Source organism: Homo sapiens, chromosome X (genome assembly GCF_000001405.40).
Source record: "Homo sapiens chromosome X, GRCh38.p14 Primary Assembly".
In the NCBI taxonomy this organism is placed as follows: domain Eukaryota; kingdom Metazoa; phylum Chordata; class Mammalia; order Primates; family Hominidae; genus Homo; species Homo sapiens.
In genome coordinates, this window is record NC_000023.11 from 100,290,826 (window position 1) to 100,314,902 (window position 24,077).

General features: G+C 38.7%; 1 protein-coding gene across 3 annotated transcripts in view, besides 2 other annotated features; it reads right to left on the bottom strand.

Moving 5' to 3' along the window:
* PCDH19 (protocadherin 19) overlaps positions 819–24,077 on the bottom strand; it is a 118,630-nt gene continuing 95,371 nt past the window's right edge. For all 3 annotated transcript variants that reach the window (NM_020766.3, NM_001105243.2, NM_001184880.2), the window contains one exon: positions 819–6,050. In NM_020766.3, the coding sequence (NP_065817.2) occupies positions 5,452–6,050 (599 nt within the window). In that variant the 3' untranslated portion in view covers positions 819–5,451. The remainder of the gene's footprint in view (positions 6,051–24,077) is intronic.
* Positions 5,178–5,729: an enhancer, noted in NCBI's record as "OCT4-NANOG-H3K4me1 hESC enhancer chrX:99551001-99551552 (GRCh37/hg19 assembly coordinates)". NCBI's record gives its function as "activates a minimal SCP1, AML or CMV promoter by ChIP-STARR-seq in naive H9 embryonic stem cells {active_cell/tissue: H9 hESC(naive)}" and the evidence as "EXISTENCE:reporter gene assay evidence [ECO:0000049][PMID:30033119]".
* Positions 5,730–6,279: an enhancer, noted in NCBI's record as "OCT4-NANOG-H3K4me1 hESC enhancer chrX:99551553-99552102 (GRCh37/hg19 assembly coordinates)". NCBI's record gives its function as "activates a minimal SCP1, AML or CMV promoter by ChIP-STARR-seq in naive H9 embryonic stem cells {active_cell/tissue: H9 hESC(naive)}" and the evidence as "EXISTENCE:reporter gene assay evidence [ECO:0000049][PMID:30033119]".

A 24,077-nucleotide genomic window follows, 5' to 3' on the forward strand; every position in this document is an offset into this window, starting at 1 on the left:
AATAAGATGCAATCTCAATTTAATACAGGTGGATAGAGATAACAGGAAGATGGAGATCCAGGGAGACAGTAGATTTCCTTGAGATCATTTTTAATTGTCCGGAGAGAATAGGTCATGCTGAAGCAATTTAGCCTTTAACCACTAACGGCACTATTTGGAAATGTTCTGCCATGCTCCTGTTTTTCCTCTACTCTGACTTTTTTTCTGCCTGTCGCAGGCAGAATGAATACTTACAGCCCAACTGCTAAGTCCCAGAGAATAATGGCTTGGATAAAGAAAACTTGTCAGGGCTTTCTCTGCAGCCTTGTTCTGTGCGAAGTCAGAGCCTCTCCTGTTGCTTCACTTTCAAACCTGAAGGCATCAAAGGGGCAGCCAGGTCATCTTTGTTTTAAACTCTCTTTTCCCCTGCTGTCAGCCTCTACTATATCTCACCTTTTTTTAAATTAATTCTTCAGAGAAGTCTCACTGTGAAGTTGCCCTGACATGATTTATTTTAAAGAATGGCTTTAGCGCTCTTGTTTAAAGTACCATCCAGGAAAGTCTTTACCATTCCAGATATGTATGGGTCTTCCTCCTCAGGCAACGGTATTCACTGGGGTAGGAAGGAGAGGAGGTGCTCAGGAAATAGCTGGAACCTGCTGGAGGAAGAGGCCCCCCTTAGTTGGAGGTCGTGAATGCTGTGAAATGGAAAAGGCAAAAGGATCCCTTGGGGTCTGAACATCAATGACTCCGCTAAGGACTGGTGACCTCTTAGGTCTAAGAGTCGCTTCCCGCGAGCCTACAAACACTCTCTGAAACACATTCCACCAAACACTCAATACTTTTTCCATAATAGCCTTTAATACTAAAATGCATTAAATTTTTGAAGCAGAGAAAACACATTTAAAGGGGGAAACAGAGAACCACCAGATAAAAGGAAACAATGTGGCAGATAACACCATTTGAAACATAACTGTAATAATTTAATAAAGCTGCTTTATCATCTTCATAAAATAGACAGTGGTGATTCTTTTTTGTCTTTTTTCTTTTTACAATGATTCAATCACTGTGAAAATGTACATAACATACAGATCAGCATATACAACAATTTTATCTTCATATAATCAGCAACAGAGACTGCTTAATGAGACATACTGTACTTGCATCCCTCTAAATTTCCACCCTGGTTTGACAGGTAAACAGTAATAGTGTCATCAGGCTCATTCCCCTCACTAGAGGAGCGAAGGCGTAAGCCTATTGCAACTAATACCTTAGCATTCAAATAGCACAAGGAGGTATTTGTTGCTGATTTCTAGCTCGAGCTAGTCTGGCTCTTGGTCATTAAAGTCTGTATCCTAGCCTTCCTCAGCTGAACGCCAGCCAGTGCCAGTAAAAATCTACTTAACCAGTGCTGTAATGGTGTTAGCTGGTTTGTTTGCTAAGGTTGACAGCAACTTTCAGTTAGTAACAAGGTCATCTTGAATTGCCAACACAGCTGGAGCAACAGTCAGCATCATCAGTTTTCCCTAATGACCTACAATGCTTTCCAATCAAGATCAGGTGTTTGTGGGTTATTCTTTACCAAGAGCGCCTTCCAATCTATGTATCAGACAAGGTGGTAAATTTTCTTTGTTTCACAAAAGCAATATGATTCCTATTTGAAATTAATTCACTTTTGCACAACAAGTGACCCACAAGCCAATTCCAGCGGCACAAGAAAACGAAGAGAGCTGCAACAACTTCATTAGGACAATGTGTTTTGCTCTGGAATATTTCATTATCAATATAAAGCCACCCGGTCCCAGCCCCACCCCCAAACATCCCCTTTGAATATTACTTTGTTACATACTTAAACTAAAGAACAACATCTCAATACACTTCAGTGTCAGCAGATACAATTTGACTCATGAAATGACATCCTTAAATGTAATTTTACCAAGAAGGCAAACACTAGGACTGTATACAATGGATTTCTTAAGCTCATTTATGCCAGTTTTTCAAAGTCAATAAGGGTCTTATTACCCGGGGTAAAGAGCCAAGTGGACCAAACTTGTCAGAATGCTTTGGGGGAACATTCAACATCAAAATGATCCCCAGAAAGTGGATTGGAATTCCAGCCAGAACTGCTATTATGTACAATAATAATCCTTTTCCACTCTGGATGCCCAATCGAGCTATCCCCTTCACCCTGCCTCTCCCTAAACTGCCCTTTGTCCTTGCTGCTTCAAGTGGACCACTTTTTGTTTTTAATATGATAGGGCTACAGGGAAAAGTCAGCTAAACTCCCTTCATAAAATCAGTCAGTCATATGCTGAAGTAACACTATCAAGATGATACTCTTGAGTGGTTCCAATTTTCAGAGATCTAAATTGTATTTTTTAAAAATATTTCTGATTAGAGATCAGTGGATCACTAAGCGAACAATTTTGTCTAAATGAACACCTTAGGTGCAATTTTGGATGAAGAAGTATACCTGTCTGGGGAATTGCCAAAGCAGTTATCATTAAAGCATGTCACACTTCAACACCAACTCCTCCTTAAAAGGGACATCAGAATAAATGGAATAGAACTCCCTAGGACTTAGGAACCGAAATCACTCCCTTGAGTTTATGTGTGCAACATGTTTAGAGAACAAAAGGGAGAATATTTGGCCCTGTGAACCTTGTAGCTTTTCACCAGACATGCCAAAAAGGAGAAGGTGGGGTGGGGCGGGGGGGACATGAGCCAAAGGGAAATTTAGGATCCTTGCTCAGAATGCCTATTTGCAGGTACAGCCTGCCTACAAAACCAGTTTACAAAGCCTTCCTAGTATGCACTTGTGCTTCTGAGAGGACTCATACATCAGACAATTGTGGGGAAAAATATTTCCTTAATGAGAGGAATTCTCTGAACATGCTCAGTGAGGTTTGGAAGCCAAAAAAATCTGACTGCCCACTGAGAACAAAGTATTTGGATAGGGAAGAAGGATGGATCTATAGCTTGAAGATGAATTATGAAAAGAAATGAAGAAAACCCAAGAGAAAAGCAAAATCAATGCCAATGCCACTCTAACCATTTAAAACTTGGCTGGTAAGAGGCATGGCAGCCAGTGGCCTCTCTGGCTCAACAGCCACGTGACAATTAATGTTCCCACTTTCCACAATCTTTTCTGCTCCCTGGTTCCCACTGAGCATAGCAAGAAATACACCTGTAGAAAACTGTGAAGTCTGACTTCAAAGTGACCTTGAAATCGTAGCTAATAACATAATATCAGGATGGATCAGGGTGAGAAACAGTCTAAATTCTATAGGCAGCCATCATAACTTAAAGGGGAAATTTTTAAAAAATTTTTAATGTGTTAATCAAATAGTCACTTGCAAAGAGAAATAAATACTTAATTCAAAATCCACTACCAAAATGAAATAAATCAGAGGGAGAAAACTGTATGAGAGGCAATGAAATGAGGAAAAATGAAGATGTTATGGTAATTCATCCTTAATTGTGTCAGCTTCAGAGGGAAATTTGCAGCCACACCAATATTTTGCATGAGGTAGTATTCAGCACTGAATAAGAAATAAGGATGGATTTGTAGCTTCATTATAAGTTCTTTTTCAGAAATGTTCTCCCCTACCTAACCCCATCCCTACTGCCTTACCCACCCCCTCCCTCAAAACCCTTCTCCCTCCTGTAAAAGAAAATATTCCTAGTAATGCGTAAAGCTAGGAACTCAGGCAAAAATAAGTAAAACATTCAAAAGAGCTGACTTATCTACCTAAACTTAAGAAAATAAATCCTCTTTTGCATTCTAGTGCTCTAACCTCTAGGCCTTCTCTCTGTGTATTCCTGAATTTCAAAAAATGAAACAAATGAAAACAGAACCATAAAACTTGTTTCTCTAGAAACAACTCTCTTAAGACCAAGGCAGAACAAAGGTGACATATTTCTTTAGTTTATTTTTAAATAATGAACTCTTAGGCTGCAAAAATACTATGTTGGCTAGTGAATATTAATAGACAAAAGATAAATGGGGGAGTTAGAGGAATGTTAAAACAGAAAAAAAGGATCTACAGTGTGTTAATTTAAAAAGGGTGTATTCCTAGCCTACAGCAAAAAGAGTTGGCTAAATCGAAAGGATTTTTATTTTAGTATTTTCTTGTTCACATTTTTAATCAAAAAACTATTAGTCATAAAAAGATGAGTTCAAGTGTCTGAGTGTCTCCGTTTAGAAGGCACAGTAATTGGATTAGCGATGCTGTTACCTGTTACCTGTCTTTTCCAAAATATACACTTTGTACTGCTTACTCTATCCCTACGTATATAAGCCTAAGATACAGAGCAACATGGAGTTCTCAATCCCAGCCCATGACGTGCTTTGCAGTCTAATTCTAATCATGATTGGGAAACACTGAATCAGGAAGTGTGTGTCTGAAGAGATGCTAATTTAGATCTTAAAATAGATTCAGTCATCTTCAATTTTAGATGATTGGAGAGAGGGAATTTCTAAGCCTGGAAACATAACTTCAGGAGCAACTTTCCTGTTCAGGGCCTGAAAATTTAAAAGATGGATGTCATAAAACTTTCAGCACAGTATTTCTGACAACTGCAAATTAGATAGCAGCCTATCCAAAAATGACTTTCTGCAATGATCTATCATGGACCTGGGCAGACCACTGAAAGGCAGGAAAAATACTTTGCAAAGTGGTGAGCAATCACTACATGAGTTAAAAAACGTGAGTATTCTCCAAGTACTCAATCTATATGCATGGTGTTGCTCATTCATTTGCTGTCTCAGTTGTTTGCACTTTGTTTTTGTCTGTAGTTTTATTATTTTTTTAAGAAAAAGAAAACACCAACTTTTAAAAGCCTTTTGCCATCACCACACACATAGCAATTTGCAATATCAAATACAACAATAGCACAGCTAGCAAAAGGGTTTTTAAAGCAGGGGTGTCCACAGCAAAGTAGCGGCATTGGGAAGTACTCGAGCTTCAGAAACAACCTTTTGGGGGCTCAATTTCACATCACTGAATCAATGAATAGTACACAATAAATGACCATTAACTTGTCTACACTACAAAAAACAGTGGCGAGCTTATTAAAGGTGTCCAGAGCTTTTTTTTTTCACTTTTTGCTTTTTTAAATGTAATCCTCCACAAACAATGGTAATTTATATTATAATTTTGACATAGAAAAATATATAAATTCAAACACTTAATACATAATACTTTTCACAACTGAATTTGTCTCTGTTTCCCCAACATCAAGGCCCCATGAACAACTCAAGCCAAAGCTAATTTGCTCCAACTGAACACCCCTGCTGCCTGTTGAAACAAGGGACTGTCACAGAATGATAATCACCTATAAACAATACATTTAGGAAAAGCTCTGAAATATAGCCACTCAAGAACCAACCATTGGTGAGCAATTAAAACAAGAAGCTCCTGCTTCTTCACTAGCCAGTGTGGTTTCTTTCTCTTCTTCCTGGAGACTGGTTTAGAGAACGATATCCTTCAGACGCTTCACACCAGGGGACTCTTTGTTGCGACCTTCCTTCAGAATGGGGCTGACCTCATGCATGACTTTCTCGCTATCAGCTCCACGGGGCTCAGCTTCAGAGGGACGAGTAGGGCCATTGTTGACATTGTTGACATACTGCTCCAGATCACGGGCTGGGGGAGCCAGGGCAATGGTGTAAGACACGGAAGGCTTGGTGGGCAGAGAGCTCTTGAGGTGGAGGGGGGAGGTGACAGGGCTAATCGCCTCACAGCCATTGCCTGCCTCCCGGATAACGCTGTTGACCTTGGGGCTGCAGATGGTCACATCGACAGTCCTCTTGCCTTTCAGGGTAGGCCTCTCCTCAGCCGGGTGGTCGCTGACATCTTTCCCAAAGGTTGCGAAAGTCCGTTTGGTGGGGCCGCAGTCGTCATAAGCCTCGACATCAGCAGCAGTAGCTTCAATAGACAGCGCGATGATGTTCCTCACATGCTCAGGGGACTTGGAACGGATGGGCATGGGGTTCCGGGGCATCCAGCACCTGTCAGAGTGGCCAAGAATCCGGCATTCTTCCCGGCAATGAAATCCTTCATTCTGATCTGTTTGGAAAAAAGAAAATATCAATTTCATCAGCTTTTCCCAGGATTCACTGTTACTCCCCAGTGTTCTGGTTTCTTAGATATCCACAGGCCCTTGTGGGAAATGGCACTTTTAGGTAGTCCTTTATTGCCTTTTGGGACAAGTGTGAAGAACTGGATTTTTTTAAAAGGCTGAAGATCTCCCTCTATGTATATCCTTTTTAAGGTTCCCACTACTGACAAAACAAAAAACCTAAAGGGAAACACGTTATGATGAAAATACATATATATTCTAAAGTTCATCTGGAGTGTCAAGGTGCTGAGAGTCAGCATTTTAATCAACAACTCCTGCTAAAAATCACCTGTGTTTGAAACTGGATTCAGCAGATGAGGGAGTGGAGGCAGGGAAGGGAATCCAACAGTCAGTGTATTTAAGAAGCCTTGGCCATATTTTTGAACAACAGCACTGCCAAACACCCTTCCACCCTACCCATCACTGATACACAGTGCTTAATTTAATTTTAGATTGATATCCTACTCTCTGTGAAAGCCCAATCACACCCCTTCTTTTTGACCACCAGTCCCACCAGCCAATCTCCTCACTATGCCACTTCCATGACTTGATTTCCCATCAGAAGGAATAAACTGAGAGCCCTTCTATCCAGCTGACCCATAAGCTTCAATTGGCCCTACGCAAACATCAGTGACATGTTGGTCATTGTTAATTAGACCCAACTAGCCATCCCTCCTTATCTTTCTTATCTGCAGTTTTGTTAGAGAAATATTTCTTAAAGAAATCTTTCATGGATTATTTTAACTCCATCCTGGAAGATCTCAGCAGTTACAATTCATAATTATTGGGCAGACATAGATTTATCTTTCCAGGTCAGGTTCACTAAGGGTTAAAGCTTCAATCTGGCTCTCAGAGAGGCTTACTGCACAGGCTTTACCAAGGCATGGACCCAGGGTTAACTTCTGCCTGTTACTGGAAAACTGTTAATCTCAATGTTTGTTTTATAGCCCTAGTTTTCCAGATCTATTTATATTTATGTTACATTCTTACAAGAGGATGACCTAATGAAAACATTGCGCAATGCATCAAAATATGAGCAGCTTAACATTTACAGAAAATACATATATATATCTTATATATACATATGTATATAAAATATATATATTTATGTTGTGACTTATTTTGCAGGGGGAAGATGTCTGCAATTCAGAGTCTTACTTGGCATCAGTCTATATATAACACATCTTCCTTGTATACTTGTATTTCTATATTTTTGGTGTTTTTTGTTTGCTTCTTCATTGTTTTTAAAGAGTAAATGGCATAGCAAAGCAAGGTACTGCTATGCCTCATTCATCAAAGGTTCTTTGGTGAAGGGGCACAAGGCAGAGGGCTCAAGGAATAATGGTTGAATTGGCTGTACACTTCATTATTTGGAGGAAAGACATTAGAAGCCTGTTAAATATCAAGGACCTAATCCAAGCTAAATCCAGATTTCAACACAATTCTGGGCATGGCCCTTGACCTCATTTAAGCTACTTAAAAGCAAACTAAAGACAAGACCTCTTCAGTGTACCTTGACATAATTTGCCAATTTATCTTTAAGATGGACACTTTCATCCCCCTTTCAGTGCTGGGCAATGAAACACTCAGAATTTTGTACAGTGGAACCAAATAACAAATGAACAACATCATGAACAGGGAAAGTGCCTTCCACCTAGTTAGGACAATGTTTCTGCAAACTCCAGCTCAGTTCCACATCAGGCTGCATGGCCACTTCTGCAAAATGAAAGGTCTGTCAAGGCCCTTTCTCCGCCCCTTCCCTGCAAACTCTCTGTGTTGCCATCTGATACCCTGTTATCATTCAACATGCATGTACCTGGGAGGCAGAAAATATGAAAGTAAGGGAAGCATTTTGGGATATACTTGAGAAGCACTTTGTGTAGACTAAACAGTATGAGTGGAAGAGTTAGTTGATCTACTTTTAATCAGTTTCCTCCAAATATAGTGCTTTCCACAGGAGGTCCCAAGATCCCTTCAGTAGAACAGAAGTCACATCTTTAGGGCTTCCCAATAAGCTGTTTTTGCCTCTTCATCTCTTCCAAGGCCTATCTGGTAACTTTCCAAATAATACCTCTAAAAAATTAGTGAGAGTGTTTCAGGGTAGAGAGAGTAAGCAGTTGCAGGTGGGGGAAAAGTTCAATAAATTATTTCCATTTCTACAAATCAGAGTAAAAATCCCTGGAAGCCAGCAAAAAAATGTCCAGAAGGCTATAAGATCTCTGCCCTTTTTGTCCCTACCTGAAAGGCATAAAAGCATAAAGACCTAACCCTTGAGCCCTGAAACCATGGACATATGACCAACTAAGAAAAGAAAATCCCAGCCAAGATTAAGACTGATATTTCAGGCCACTTGCTCACACTTCTAGAGCAGAGCAGTAGTGAAGTACAATTGAGTACCATCTGCCCAATGTCTTCAACACGAAGCTCTTATTTCTTTGAGTTTTTTAATATGAAGTGACTGTCCTCTAATTTTGAGATTTAGTTTTTTTCAACAGCATTCAATAGGAGAATACCACCCATGTGTCACCCTGAATCCAAGTACAATGCTCCTTCCCTATACTAGGCTGCCTCAAATGAACAGCATGAGGAGACTTGGATCCCCAGAATATCTGGGGAGGGAGAATAGAGAGCCCAGAGACAGACACCTCCAAGATCTTATAAATCTTGGAAGACCAGAGCAGGGAATTCAATCTTCTCTGAGGTTTCTCTGTATAGATAGTACTTGCCTTCAGCTGACCCACTGTCTAAATGAAACAATCACTGTTGGGAAAAGAGAAACGGAGACTAACTCAGGACACACCCAACAATGCAATCAGTCTAAGCCTCCCCACCAAGCTCACTGAGCCTACCTCAGCTCCATATGAGCTGGAATCATATGCAGTTTTCTCAGATTACTTATGTAAACTTATTATATGCACTGCCCTTCCTCACGCAAGTGAAGACTTGAATCTAAGAGACTCTTTTACTCACAGTGTCTCATCCTTGGCTTGGATCTGATACCTATATTTTTTTTAAGTCCTTACCAAGGGCACTGAGTTACTGTTTCTTATTTTTGTGTTTCAGATATTTTGTGACATTTTTGTCTATACAGTTACAATGAAGTCTAACTTAGCTTAAATATGTTTATAGCCACTTTATATATGAAATAAAAATTGTCAATATAGACAGGCAGGAAGAACATCTCTGCCCAGCACAGGGTAATTTACATTCATAAATATACTGCAGATGAATTACCTTTCAAAAATCAAAATTTCAGTTTAGTAAAGAAATTGTGTAGTAAATGTGAGAAAGTCACAATACAAAGCCCCTTAAAAATAGCAATGAAGACAGACCAGATGTAAAAAAATAAAAATTAAAAAGACTACTTCTGTAATTGTATAGGACTTGTAAAGATTATGTGCCAGTCCTCATGTAGTATAGTGGCTGGGAATGGAGCTATGAGACTAGAGAAGAACCATTTTGTAGCATCACAAACTGTCAAGGTGCTGGCTCCAGCTTATATAGAGAGATGGGCTCACGATTCACTAAGTTCCTGCTGAGATTCTTCTTATGAACCTATCTGTGACCTGATACTTTGCTACATTTTTATCTGAAAGTTCTGACCTGAACCTAGGCAAAGCAAAATGTGGCATTCTAAAATCCACATATAGTTGTGGAAATTCACGTATAGATGAATGAAGGCAGGTGTCTTTAATTTAAACATACTCATGATGAGGGTTGACTGATGAATTTGTAAATTGGTTTTCCCTGCTTCTGAAGTTGTCCCTAGGATTTGCAAAAGAAACAAGAACAGAGTGCATAAATTTGGAAGAGGAACACAAATCTTGAGACCAGAGAACTCCTTAGTTCAAAACAAATCTGATTATTTTAGACCATAAAAAATACAGAAAAAAGTGAAAGTTTCTTCAATCTACATAGCAGTAAGTATTTGGTGGTCACAATTTGTCATCAGGAAACTTGGTGAGAGAATTCCAAAACCCCTGGCCAAAAAAAAAAAAAAAATTAAAGCATCAGTCTTGCGAGGGTACAAGAGGCAAAAGAGGCAGTAAGGCAGTAATGACTAAGTCATGATAGATTAAGGAAGTAATTCAAACAGAAAAAGACCAGAATATGCTATTTTGTGCAGATAATAGCAAAACTTTATGCAGCAATTACTACTCTCCTCAGGACATGAAACTGCCATCTCCTCAGATGTGGCCAAACAATGTACTTCCACACTAGAAAGAGCCTACCCATGGTCCCCACCAAAGTAATAAAAGAAAATGATGAAAACATCATTTCAGGCTTTGCTAAAACTTTCCAAGTCCTGGTGGAATAGAAGAGCTAAGAGGCTCTGCTGGGTTTGTATAGATATCCAGTCACAATGGATGTGTTTGATAATGCTGGCAGTTCTTTACTGTGATTCAGAGTTTGGGTGTATTAACTCAAAGATCCTAATGATCACAGACGAAAATCCAGCACTAAAATAGTTCAAGGTTACAGTTACAAGAGCAATATGTTTCCTCTTCAGAAATAATCTGCAATCAATGAATCAGAAAGAAAAAAGTTAAAGTGAGTTCCAGTTCCTGAGAGCTCAAGTAGTTGGCTACTTCTAAGTGGCAGCAGTAGTAGAACCAACAAGCAAGTGATGTGTATATCAGACAAGCTTCCTGAATTGTACTCTTATACATCTACTTAGTTTATTCTGCATCACCTCATGAACAAGACAATCTGTAACCAAAGCAGGGCCATTTTTTGTGAGATATAATGGAGGAGATTATGACAATGATTATGAAGAAGTTTAGTGCTGTTAAAATTGGTCACATGTGCCTAATCGAGGAAACCTAATTGTTGAGAAGTACACCACCCACCCTTGACCTATCTAACTCCTACTCTATGAAGCAGAGATAACTAATTGCCTGCCAAATATCTTTATCTGTTTTTGTTAAATAGAAACAAAGCCCCATTTCTGTTAGGAATGGCAGTGTGCTCAGCTAAAAGAAACTACATTTCACAGGCTCCCTTGCAGACATGTAACATAAGATTGGACCAACATTATAAAGCAAGATGTTAAGAAAATTCCTTAAAAGGGGAGAGCTGACTTAGGTAAGAGACTATTTTGTCTTTATTCCTTCCTGCTTTGTCCTGTCTGGAATGGAGACATAATGACTGATGCTGCAACATCTGTCTGACTACCATGAGGCAACCCTGAAGATAGAAGCCATGTGCCTGTGGGTGGCAGAATAGAAAGATATAAGGACCTTGGGTTATTAAAGATACTGTAGAGCTACCCTCACCAAACTTGAACTTCTTTAATAAGAAGAAAAATAAATATCTCTTATTTAAGTCATTGATTTATTTTCTTTAGTAGGAGAGGGGCATCTTTATTACTAGCGGTTAAACACAATTCATGATTAATACATTATCCCTGAAGTCTCCATTTAAATTTCACTTCCCCAGGGAGTCCTTCTGTGATCCTTTAGACTAAGGTAGATCTCACAGCACTTCCCTTTTATAACATTCATCACACGCGTAATTACCATTGACCCTTGAACAACATGGGTTTGAAACTGCATGGGTCCACTTACATGTAGGTTTTTAAAAATAAATATGGTCAGCCCTCTGTATCTGCAGGTTCTGCATCTGCCACAAAATGTGAATAGAAAATACAACATCTGTGGGATGCAAAACCCTCAGATTTGTAGGGTCACCTTTTCATTTATCCACAGGTTCCACCAGATTCCCCAGGGCAAACTGCAGGACTTGAGCATGTACAGATTTTCGTATTCTCAGGAGTCCTGGAACCAATCCTCCATGGATGCCAAGAGACAACTGTACTTGTTTCATGTCTATATTTTCTGCTACCTTTTAAGCTCTGGATGAGCAAAGATTACATCTATCTCAACCTAGCAAAGCGTCCAGCACAGAGCTGTCAATTAAACTGTTAATAATAGTTTAATTTAATTGAATGAAAAATGCACAGAAAGAAGGAAGAATATTGGTCAACGCCCCAGATACTGTCCCACCCCAGATACTGTGCAACTCCTAAAGTGGAAATAACTATTTTATCATAAATACTACAGAAACCTACAAAGTAAACTATGTAGCTTTGTCAGAGGCGTAAAGTAAATTTAGAACTTGAGAAACATTAAGTGTCCTCTTAGCCTCTGTGTGGTTTCCTGCACACTATATACAGGTGTTAGAGAGATCTAGTACCCTCTAACATCCCGTTGAAAATACATTTGCCATAGACCTGCAAGTTTTCTATACTAACAATAGTTAATAGTGCTCTCTCCTGCACTATTATCAATCCCATCTCTGTAACTTAACAAGGCAAGTAAAGCAGCAACGGGATCAATGGAAAAGAAAGGAAGGAAATGGAAGAAGGAAGGAAGGAAGAAAGGAAGGAAGGAAAAAAGGAAGGAAGGAAGGAAGGAAAATATTACCAAGGCTTTAGGCATTTTATTTTGGTTTTGATATGTTTGATATCTTGAGGATTGGGCTTATTTGGGTGTTTAGATATCATATGGAAAATATCTGTTATGTATCTAGCAAAAATTCAATATGAGCGTAATGACAACTTCCTAGAGCCCTCCCAGGCTGTAATGTTGCAGGGGGTTTACAGTCGTATTCTAAAGTAAAATTTTAGCAAAAAAAAGATGGAATTCCATCCGTAAAACATTCAAGGGAACACCAGTGAAGGCTGAGATATCTGTAGACACTCATGAACCAATGATACCAAGCTATCCTGTAGTCACTCTATGTGACAAGAAGCACATCACAAATTACACTACAAACAACTACTTGTCTCTTTCTCACTCCCTTCTTCCCTTTTTTTCAGCAATTTTCTCCACTTTTGGTTGCTCCCTAAAACTTTCTTTTTGTTCTCCCGTTCCCTAGCCTCGTCCTTGTTAGCAGCCCTCCCCTACAACACTATGGAATGACAGACAGACATCAGGCAGAAGGGAAAGGATGCCAGCACTGATTGGCATTCAAAACACCTATGTGGTGTTACCTGACAGATGCCAAAGAAGTGCTATCCAAGAACCAGCCCTTGCAGCATGGAGAAAAATTTCCACATTTTTCATTCATCTGGATACATGCATTAAAAAATGCCTGTTAAAATAAGATGATCCAGCATCCACCCTATAGTACTGCAGCTGATACACTCTTGAAAGCACCACCTCCTGGCTGGAGGCCAACCAACACAAAGCCAGTGCACTAAACAAAAATACAGCCAAGGACCCTCACAGAGTCCACTTCACTCTCCTGCTAACTCCACTGGAGCAGGTGCCGATATCCACGGCTGAAAGACCTGAAGACAGATCATGTCACAGGACTCTTTGCAGACACTCCCCAGTACCAGCCCATAGCCCAGTAGCTCCACTGGGTGGCTACACCCAGAAGAGAAATAACAATCACTGCAGTTCGGCTCTCAGGAATCCCCATCCCCAGGGGAAGGGGAAGAACACCACATCAAGGGAGCACCCCATGGGACAAAAGAATATGAACAGCAGCCCTTGAGTCCTAGATCTTCTCTCTGACACAGTCTACACAAATGAGAAGGAAGCAGAAAAAGTATTCTGGTAATATAACAAAACAAGGTTCTTTAACACCCCCAAAAGATTACACTAGCTCACTAGCAATGGATCCAAACCAAGGAGAAATTTCTGAATTGCCAGAAAAAAAATTCAGAAGGTCAATTACTAAGCTAATCAAAGCGGCTCCAGAAAAAGGTGAAGTCCAACTTAAAGAAATCAAAACCATGACACAAGATATGAAAGGAAAAGTCTTCAGGGAAATAGATAGCATAAACAAAAAACAATCACAACTTCTGGAAATCAAGGACACACTTAGAGAAATGCAAAATGCACTGGAAAGTCTCAGCAATAGAATTGAACAAAAGAAGAAAGAACTTCAGAGCTCAAAGACAAGGATTTTTGAATTAACCCAATCTGTCAAAGAAAAAGAAAAAGAATTTTAAAAAATGAACAAAACCTCCAAGAAGTTTGGGACTATGTTAAGCATCCAAACCAAAGAATAATGGGTGTTCCCAAGGAAGAAGAGAAATCTAAAAGGTTGGAAAACACATCTGAGGGAATAATCGAGGAAAACTTCCCCAGCCTTGCTAGAGATCTAGACATCCAAATACAAGGAGCTCAAAGAACACCTGGGAAATTCATTGCAAAAAGATCATCACCTAGGCACATAGTCATCAGGTTATCTGAAATCAAGACGAAGAAAAGAATCTTAAGAGCTGTCAGTCAAAAGCATCAAGTAACCTACAAAGGAAAACCTATCAGAATAATAGCAGATTTCTCAGCAGAAACCCTACAAGCTAGAAGGGATTGGGGTCCTATTTTTAGCCTCCTTAAATGAAACAATTATCAGCCAAGAATTTTGTATCCAGTGAAACTAAGCTTAATAAATGAAGGAAAGATACAGTCTTTTCCAGACAAATGCTGACAGAATTCGCCACTACCAAGACAGCACTATATGAACTGCTAAAAAGAGCTCTAAATCTTGAAACAAGTCCTTGAAATACATGAAAATAGAACCTCCTTAAAGCATAAATCTCACAGGAACTATACAACAGTAACACAATGAAAAAAAGGTATTCAGGCAATAATTTGCACAGTGAATAGAATAGCACCTCACATCTCAATACTAATGTTGAATGTAAATGGCCTAAATGCTCCACTTAAAAGATACAGAATGGCAGAATGAATAAGAGTTCACCAACCACGTTTCTGCTGTCTTCAGGAGACTCAACTAACACATAGGAACTCACATAAACTTAAGGTAAAGGGGTTAGAAAAAGATATTCCATGCAAATGGACACCAAAAGCGAGCAGGAATAGCTATTCTTACATCAGACAAATTTTAAAGCAACAGCAGTTTAAAAAGACAAAAAAGGACATTACATAACGATAAAAGGACTAGTCCAATAGGAAAATATCACAATCCTAAATATATATGCACTTAATGCTGGAGCTCCCAAATTTATAAAATAATTACTACTAGACCTAAGAAATAAGATAGATGGCAACACAATAATAGTGGGGGACTTTAATAGTCCACTGACAGCACTAGACAGGTCATCAAGACAGAAAGCCAACAAAGAAACAATGGACTTAAACTATAACCTACAGCAAATGGACTTAACAGGTATTTACAGAACATTATACCCAACAACTGCAGAACATACATTCTATTCACCAGCACATGGAACATTCTCCAAGACAGACCATATGATAGGCCACAAAACAAGTCTCAGTAAATTTAAGAAAATCGAAATGATATCAAGTACTCTCAGACCACAGTGGAAAAACTGGAAATCAACTCTAAAAGGAGCCTTCAAAACCATGCAAATACATGGAAGTTAAATAACCTGCTTCTGAATTATCATTGGGTCAACAATGAAACCAAGATGGAAACTGAAAAATTCTTTGAACTGAATGATAATAGTGACACAACCTATCCAAACCTCTGGGATACAGCAAAAGCGGTGCTAAGAGGAAAGTTCATAGCATTAAATGCCTACATTAAAAAGTCTGAAAAGGCAAAAATAGACAATCTAAGGTCACACCTCATTAAACTGGAGAAACAAGAACAATCCAAATGCAAACCCAGCACAAGAAAAGAAATAACCAAGATCAGAGCAGAACTAAATGAAATTGAAACAAAAGAAATAATACAAAAGATAAATGAAACAAAAACCTGGTTCTTTGAAAAAAATGAATAAAAATGATTAACCAAGATTAACCAAGAAAAGAAGAGAGAAGATCCAAATAAGCTCAATCAGAAACAAAACGGGATATATTACTACTGATACCACAGAGAAACAGAAGATTATTCAAGGCTACTATGAACACCTTTATGTGCATAAACTAGAAAACCTAGAGGAAATGGATAAATTCCTGGAAATATACAACTCCCCTAGATTAAACCAGGAAGATATAGAAACTCGTAACAGACCAATAATGAGCAGTGAGATTGAAATGGTAATAAAACAATTGTCAACAAGAGTCAGACAGATTCATAGCTGAATTTCATCAGATATTCAAAGAAGAATTGGTACCAATCCTATTAACACTATTCCACAGAACAGAGAAAGAGGGAATCCTCCCTAAATCATTCTATGAAGCCAGTGTCATCCTAATACCAAAACCAGGGAAGGACATAACAAAAAAAGAAAGCTACAGACCAATATCCCTGATGAACACAGATACAGAAATCCTCAACAAAATACTAGCCGACCGAATCCAACAGCATATCAAAAAGATCATCCACCATGATCAAGTGGGTTTCATACCAGGCATGCAGGGATGGTTTAACATATGCAAGTCAATAAATGTGACACATCACACAAAATTTAAAACAAAAATCACATGATCATCTCAATGGATTCAGACAAAGCATTTGACAAAATCCAGTATCCCTTTATGATTAAAACCCTCAGCAAAATCAGCACAGAAGGGACATACCTCAAGGTAACAAGAGCTGTCTATGTCAAACCCACAGCCAACATTATACTGAATGGCGAAAAGTTGAAAGCATTCCCCCTGAGAACTGAAACAAAACAAGGATGCCCACTTTCACCACTTCTATTCAACAAATTACTGGAATTCCTAGCCAAAGCAATCCAACAAGAGAAAGAAATAAAGGGCATCTAAATTGGTAAAGAGGAAGTCAAACTGTCACTGTTTGCTGATGATATGATCGTATATCTAGAAAACCCTAACGAGTCATCCAAAAAGCTCCTAGATCTGGTAAATGAATTCAGCAAAGTTTCAGGATACAAAATCAAATGTACACAAATCAGTAGCACAGCTATACACCAACAGCAACCACACTGAGAATCAACAAGAACTCAACCTCTTTTACAACAGATGCAAAATAATAATAATAAGGAATATACTTAAGCAAAGAGGTGAAAGAACCCCTACAAAGAAAACTATAAAACACTGCTGAAAAAAATTATAGATGACACAAACCAATGGAACCATATCCCATGCTCATGGAGGGGTAGAATCAATATTGTGAAAACGACCATACAGCCAAAAGCAATCTACAAGTTCAATGCAATTCCCATCAAAACACCACCATTATTCTTCACAGAACTAGAAAAAACAATCCTAAAATTCATATGGAACCAAAAAAGAGCCCACATAGCAAAAACAAGACTAAACAAAAGAACAAATCTGGAAACTTCAGATTACCCGACTAGAACTATACTATAAGGGCATAGTCACCAAAACAGCATGATACTGGTATAAAAATAAGTACGTAGGCCAATGGAACAGAATAGAGAACCCAGGAATAAAGGTAAATACAGCCAACTGATCTTCAACAAAGCAAACAAAAACAAAGTGGGGGAAAGACACTCTATTCAACAAATGGTGCTGGGATCATTGACAAGTCACACTTAGAAGAATGAAACTGGATCTTCATCTCTCATCTTATACAAAAATCAACTCAAGGTGCATCAAGGACTTAATTCTAAGACCTGAAACCATAAAAATTCTAAAGGTAACATCGGAAAAACTCTTACAGACATTGGCTTAGGCAAAGACTTCATGACCAAGAACCCAAAAGCAAACACAGCAAAAACAAACATAAATAGATGGGACTTAATTAAAGCTTCTGCACAGCAAAAGAAATAATCAGCAGAATAAACAGACAACCCACAGAGAGGGAGAAAATCTTCACAATCTATACATTTGACAAAGGACTAATATCCAGAATCTACAAGGAACTCAGACAAATCAGCAAGAAGAAAACCAACAATCCCATCAAAAAGTGGGCTAAGGACATGAATAGACAATTCTCAAAAGAAGATGTACAAATGGCCAACAAGCATATGAAAAAATGCTCAACATCACTAATTATCAGGGAAATGCAAATCAAAACCACAATGTCATACCACCTTACTCCTGCAAGAATGGCCATAATAAAAAAATAATAAATGTTGGCATGGATGTGGTGAAAAGGGAATACTTTTACACTGTTGGTGAGTATGTAAACTAGTACAACCACTATGGAAAACAGTGTGGACATTCCTTAAATAACTAAAAGTGTATCTATTTGATCCAGCAATCCCACTACTAGGTATCTAAAAGAAGTCCTTATATGGAAAAGGCACTTGTATACTCATGTTTATAGCAGCACAATTTGCAATTGCAAAAATATGGAACCAGCCCAAATGCCCATCAATCAATGAGAGGATACAGAAAATGTGATGCATGCACACACACACACACACACACACACACCATGGAAATAGTACTCAGCCATAAAAAGGAACAAAATAATGGCATATGCAGCAACCTGGATAGAATTGGAGACTATTATTTTAAGTGAAGCAACTCAGGAATGGAAAACCAAACATTATGTGTTCTCGCTAATAAGTGGGAGCTAAGCTATGAGGATGCAAAGGCATAAGAATAATACAATGGACTTTGGAGACTCAGGGGAAAGGGTGGGAGGAGTGTGAGAGATAAAAGACTGCACATTGGGTAGAGTGTACACATCTTGGGTGATGGGTGCACCAAAATCTCAGAAATCACCACTAAAGAACTTATTCATGGAACCAAACACCATTTGTTCCACAAAAACTATTAAAATAAAAAATAAATTTAAAAAAATGTTTAGAAGAGGCACCATTATCGAACTGAGATTATCAGATTTTTTTGGGTCACATAACAGAGCCCTGAATAAGGGTATCCAGGATAAGAGAGATTTGATGGGGTTAAAAACACTAGAAATGTCTGGATGTGGAGATGCCTCAGGAAGGATGAAGGATGGGGATGGGGTGTGGGAACAAAGTTCCTGAGACTGGCAAAGGGATGTTGCCAAAAGACAAGACAGAAGAAAAAAGGCCAGCCCTGGTTAGCATAACTTGGCATTTTCAGTATGGCTGACAAAACAGCAGAAATTCTGCAAAGTTTAGTTTTAGTTTGAGATAGGGAGAATGGCTGAAAAGACTGATGAACCCCAATCTTGTCCTAGACCATTTCACTGATCAGCATTAGTTAGCAAATGTCACCCAATATTTGGCCTCTGTGATGCCAAATGGCACATAGGCCTCTCCCATCATTCACAGGCTATGCACCTGAAATTCACTTAACTCCCAGTGCAACATGAAAATAGATTAAAAAGATGCCCCTTTCAGAATTCAAAGCAATTGAATTATCTTCAATGGAATCTTTAGTGCTGAGCTGGTCAAACAGACAAAGTTAAAACATATTGAAGTATAAGTGCTTGAGAATTTAATATTTATGATAGATGAGAGTGTGGCGTGTACAGTCATACAATCCAAGTTGTAATTTGGGCAATCACAACAGTTCCTGGAGTTTTCATTTTTGTACTGGGGCTCGATTCAATTCAATCCATAAAGAAGAGATTTCAAGATGTACATAAGTATAAATCATTTGTGCTGATGCATGGGGAGCAAGGAAATCAAGCAAAAGGCTGCCTGGAAAATTGAGACTAAGAAATAAGAGGTGCTGACAGTGACTGAGATAAGCAGAGATTGACTAGACTGAAATCTTTGTATTTTGGCTTCTGTGATGGAGAAAATAATCTGACAAAGTGCTGGACTTCATCTAGGTGCTTATAAACCATTTGAAAAAGCAACTTTACTAGTAAATATGAGGTGACACAGAAGGCCAATGAGCTATTCCCCAAAAGATAGAACACTGAGATACTACAACTCTGAAAAACATAGGACCGTTTTTGAAAGTTTCATATAAAGACGCCCACAGAATTAAGTCCCTCAAACCTATATTAGTGGGATACCTACAACATCTTGTCACTTCTCTGAAGAGTTCAAATCAGTTATTTGACTTGGTGTAGATTTAAAAGTCAGATGCATTCTACATGCAGTTATACATCTAGGATGACAGAGCCTTTACAAAAAAATGATAAATAAATAATAAAAAAATTAAAAAAAAACTTCTTTAGAGACAAGATCTCACTCTTGCCCAAGCTGGAGTGCAATAGTGCAATCATAGCTCATTGCAGCTTCCAACTCCTGGACTCCAAGAATTCTCCTGGCTCGGTCTTCCAAGTAGCTGGGACTGCAGGCAGGTGCCTGGCTAATTAAAAAAAAAAAAAAATTAGAGGCAGAATCTCACTATGTTGCTCAGGCTGGTCTCAAAATCCTGGACTCAAAGGATCCTCCCACTTCAGCCTCAGGAGTAGCAGGGTTTACAGGAGAGAGCTACCGCGCCCAGTCACAGAGCCTATCACACTTAAAAAATAGTTCTGAACCTAAACTTATCTCCAACTTGGTTTCACTCTTTTGTGGAAAATAAGGAAACTGCTAGCAGATCATCAGCTTGTGAAGAAGCCACTTTCATGATGGTCATGAGCTTCTAGGAGAATACATAGTGAAGATGGCACACATAAGACTGACACAGAAAGCAAGAGTAGACAGAGCACGTTGGCCAAGAGAAAAATCTTCCCTTTTCTAATGAAAACTTACTGTTGAATGGAACAAAAAGGGCACCCAGCAGCTGGTGTTCCCCTTAACAGGAACTGACACTTCCTTCAGTCAAGTCCCAGGACATTCAGTTTTGTAGAATAGGCCATACTATACATGAGTCCATGAAAAATGTTGCAACTGTAACTTCTAAATTCCTTAAAGGTTCTTGACTACCAATATGTTCCTAGGACTGGGTGGGGAAGCTAAGAAACAGCATTAGTAAATCTCCAATCATTTCTTCCACATTTGGAAAATAAAGAGCTCAGTAAACCAATCACTGTCTCCTGTAATGATTCAAAGGGATAGTGTGTGTGTTTTGTCATCAGCTGGGTATCACTAGAAATGGTCATTGGAAACAAATATATATTAATTAATATATATTAGCTACCTGGGATGGACTATTCATTACCAATAGAGGCGTCATAAAAAAGTCTAGCATTATCTTGATGTTTCAGTGTAACTTCGGGAACCATCTGGAATACTATAGTTGTGATGACACTGCTTCTGGGTACAGCAAACAGCACAATCATTAAAAAAATGCATTTCAAATATCTTTCTGGAAGCTAATAAATTTTACAGCAGTTTTAATCCTTCCTCATTGCAACAAAGAAAAGCTTAGCTCCAGACAAATTAAAAGTAAATTGATAGCCTTAGGGGACTCTATTCAAATATCAGTTTTCCACGTTAGAAATCTTTTTTCCTAAAACATTGAGAGAGAGAGAGAGAGAAGAGAGAAGAGAGAAAGAGAGTGAGAGTAAAACATTGGATGGGAGAGCAAGACTGATGATGGAGACAAAGGGTGTAAAAGGGGCTAGAAGCCAGCACTGTATATGAAAAGACAAGCAACAGAGGAAGAGTGAGAGGCAGCCCAAATCATTAAATCCTTGTTTGCAAAACCAGGTAGAAATCAACTTAAAGTAAAATGCAAATGTGTCACTGGGGCACAAGCCTAACCTGGAATTTATGAATAATAACTATGAATAATGAATACCAAAATCGAAGGGATCAAACACCACCTTCTGTGTTTACTTGTCATTATCCATCTTACATGGACAATGCTAAATTTTACTCTTTTGCTCTTTTCTTTAAAATTTACTTTGAATGATTCTTTTTCCATTTGTCCGCTTAATTATACTAGTCGGAAAAAGTAAGCTATATTTTTTCAGGGTGTTGCCTCAAAAACAATTACACAAATTCAGAAGAAAGGCTAATTGATCTATTGTTTGAGGAAGTCTGATAATTTGAAGGCACCCTATGCTTGTCCCAGTGCTCTTATTAAGAAGAAAAGATTCTTTACACCTTTCAGCACATGAAGATTACAATATAATCCTCTGGCCTCCAGCTTGCCCAACTCTTCTTTAATAGAGAGAATGGCTCTCTATTAAAGAGAAAGGCTCTTCCATCTGAAGTTTCAGAGAAGTCTTGGAATCTATCTGGGCCACAGCTGTGAGAACTTTTTCTGAGTTAACTCGAGCCTTTGCACGTAGGAGTAGCAGAAGGCTCTCTGGTTGAGATGACCTGAATTAAGACACTCAGACACAGCTCTGTAAAAATCTCTTTAGGAGCTGATGCATAGTAAGCCTGGATCATGGCCACAAAATCACACACACACACACGCACATTCACCACCACTACCACCAGTCCTCACCATCCTTAAGATGCATTTTCATTCACAAATTAATTGAACAAATCAAAAAATCACTGAAAACCAGGCTGGTAAATTTAAATGTTCTGTCCATCTTTAGATCATGTATCTTTACACTCTTGGAATAATCTGTTTCTCCAAAACATTGCATCTCCTGAACTCCAATTTTATTGTGTTTTCTACTTGTTGGTTAAAATGCCAGTTCTTCATGACTGGGTCTGGGAAACATGGGGCTAATGGAGGAATGCCATGCTGTGGTGGGGGAAGCCCTGAGGAGTCTAGTTCTGTGTACAGACAATAAGACAACACTGGGAGAATTTGAAGCTCCGTTCAAGCCTGCATGATTTCCATTCTGAGATTCCAATTCGGCAGTTATAAGAGGAAGGGTGCACACATGTTTAATATAAGATGTTGAACTCTAGCATAAAAATATTCTAAGAGTAAATGGAAATTATTAATTAAAGAAAAAGCCTTCTTTGGCTCTAGTACTTTCTTATCCCCTTAATTCCACTTTGCAATCTGTTTTTATTTGCTTTTATTAGTTAGTGAACAGCAAATAATCTGGTTTGCTATTAAAACTGCAGATAAAATAATCACCTTTGGCAAAATGCAAACAGCGCCTAGCTGTAGAGCTAAGGATCATCATTTGCTCATATATTAAGACATGGCACAACTCCTTTATCTATCCTAATGGCCCTGGATGGGTCGGTGATGAGAAGGGAGGTAGAAAAGGGTTGGAAAGGACAAGAAAGAGGGGCAGATGCAGAATTATATTTTAAAACCTCCTGCTGGAATTCAAAGAGCCCTCTGCTGTTAATCACACACACACACACACACACACACACACACACACACACACACACACACAAAGTCTATACAGAATTGTAATGCTGACATAGCTTCCTGAATAAGATGCTTATAGGACACTAATAAACAAGGACATTGGCGAATGGTTTTATTCTCCTGGGGAATCTTTGTCCCCCTTCTTCCAGAGTTTATGCAAACTAAAAAGTTTATATTTTTAACACCCTGTTGTGCATTCCAATATGGGAGGTCAGCAGTATTTCAACAAAGAAACCACTCATGAGTAACGATTTTACGGAGACAAGAGTAGGGAAACGAACTGTTTGAAATGAGTCTAATTCCTTGTGTGATGGCTAATAAAAAGAAACATCTGAACACAGTGCTTGAGAAGCATTTTTGTACTGTTCAACAGACTGAAAATAATACCCTTTTTTCTGGTCTGCATTACCATTAATAACAGCCTTCTCTTCTGGTCATGTGTGTTTACAGAGGGAATAAAGATTGATACCAAGAGCTTGCCTTTTTTTCTTCCCCACTCAACTAGACACAGACTGTCCGGATGATATTTTTAGCACAAACCAACTTTGATTTTTAGAAGTTAAACGATTACTAGTCTCTAAATATTTTCAGAAATTACTTGGATCTGTGAGGAAGCTAGAAATTTTTCCAGGTAGCTCTCAGAAAAAGTTGTTTAGAAAGTAAAAGGTTATGCTCACATCTTGCCTTTGTTTAAGGAAGCTCTTGAACTCTCCTGAGAGGAAATATTCCATCTGTTCTATCCGCTTTCTCTTGACCACACCTGGAAGAATGTCCAGGGTAGAATAGAAGAGTGATTGTACACTAGATAGAATAATCCATGAACTGCAGGTTGTCAGCTCCCCCAGTGTATTTAAGATGGAATTGCCGTTACAAAATTTCAACATATTCACAAGCATTTCATATAAGAAGGGTCCCCTGGAGTTCAATGAACCTTTTATTCCAACTTATAAATAATAAGTGCTTTCATGAATTGATTCCCACTCCTCTTCTCATCTTGTCTCCATTCCATAGTGTTCAACT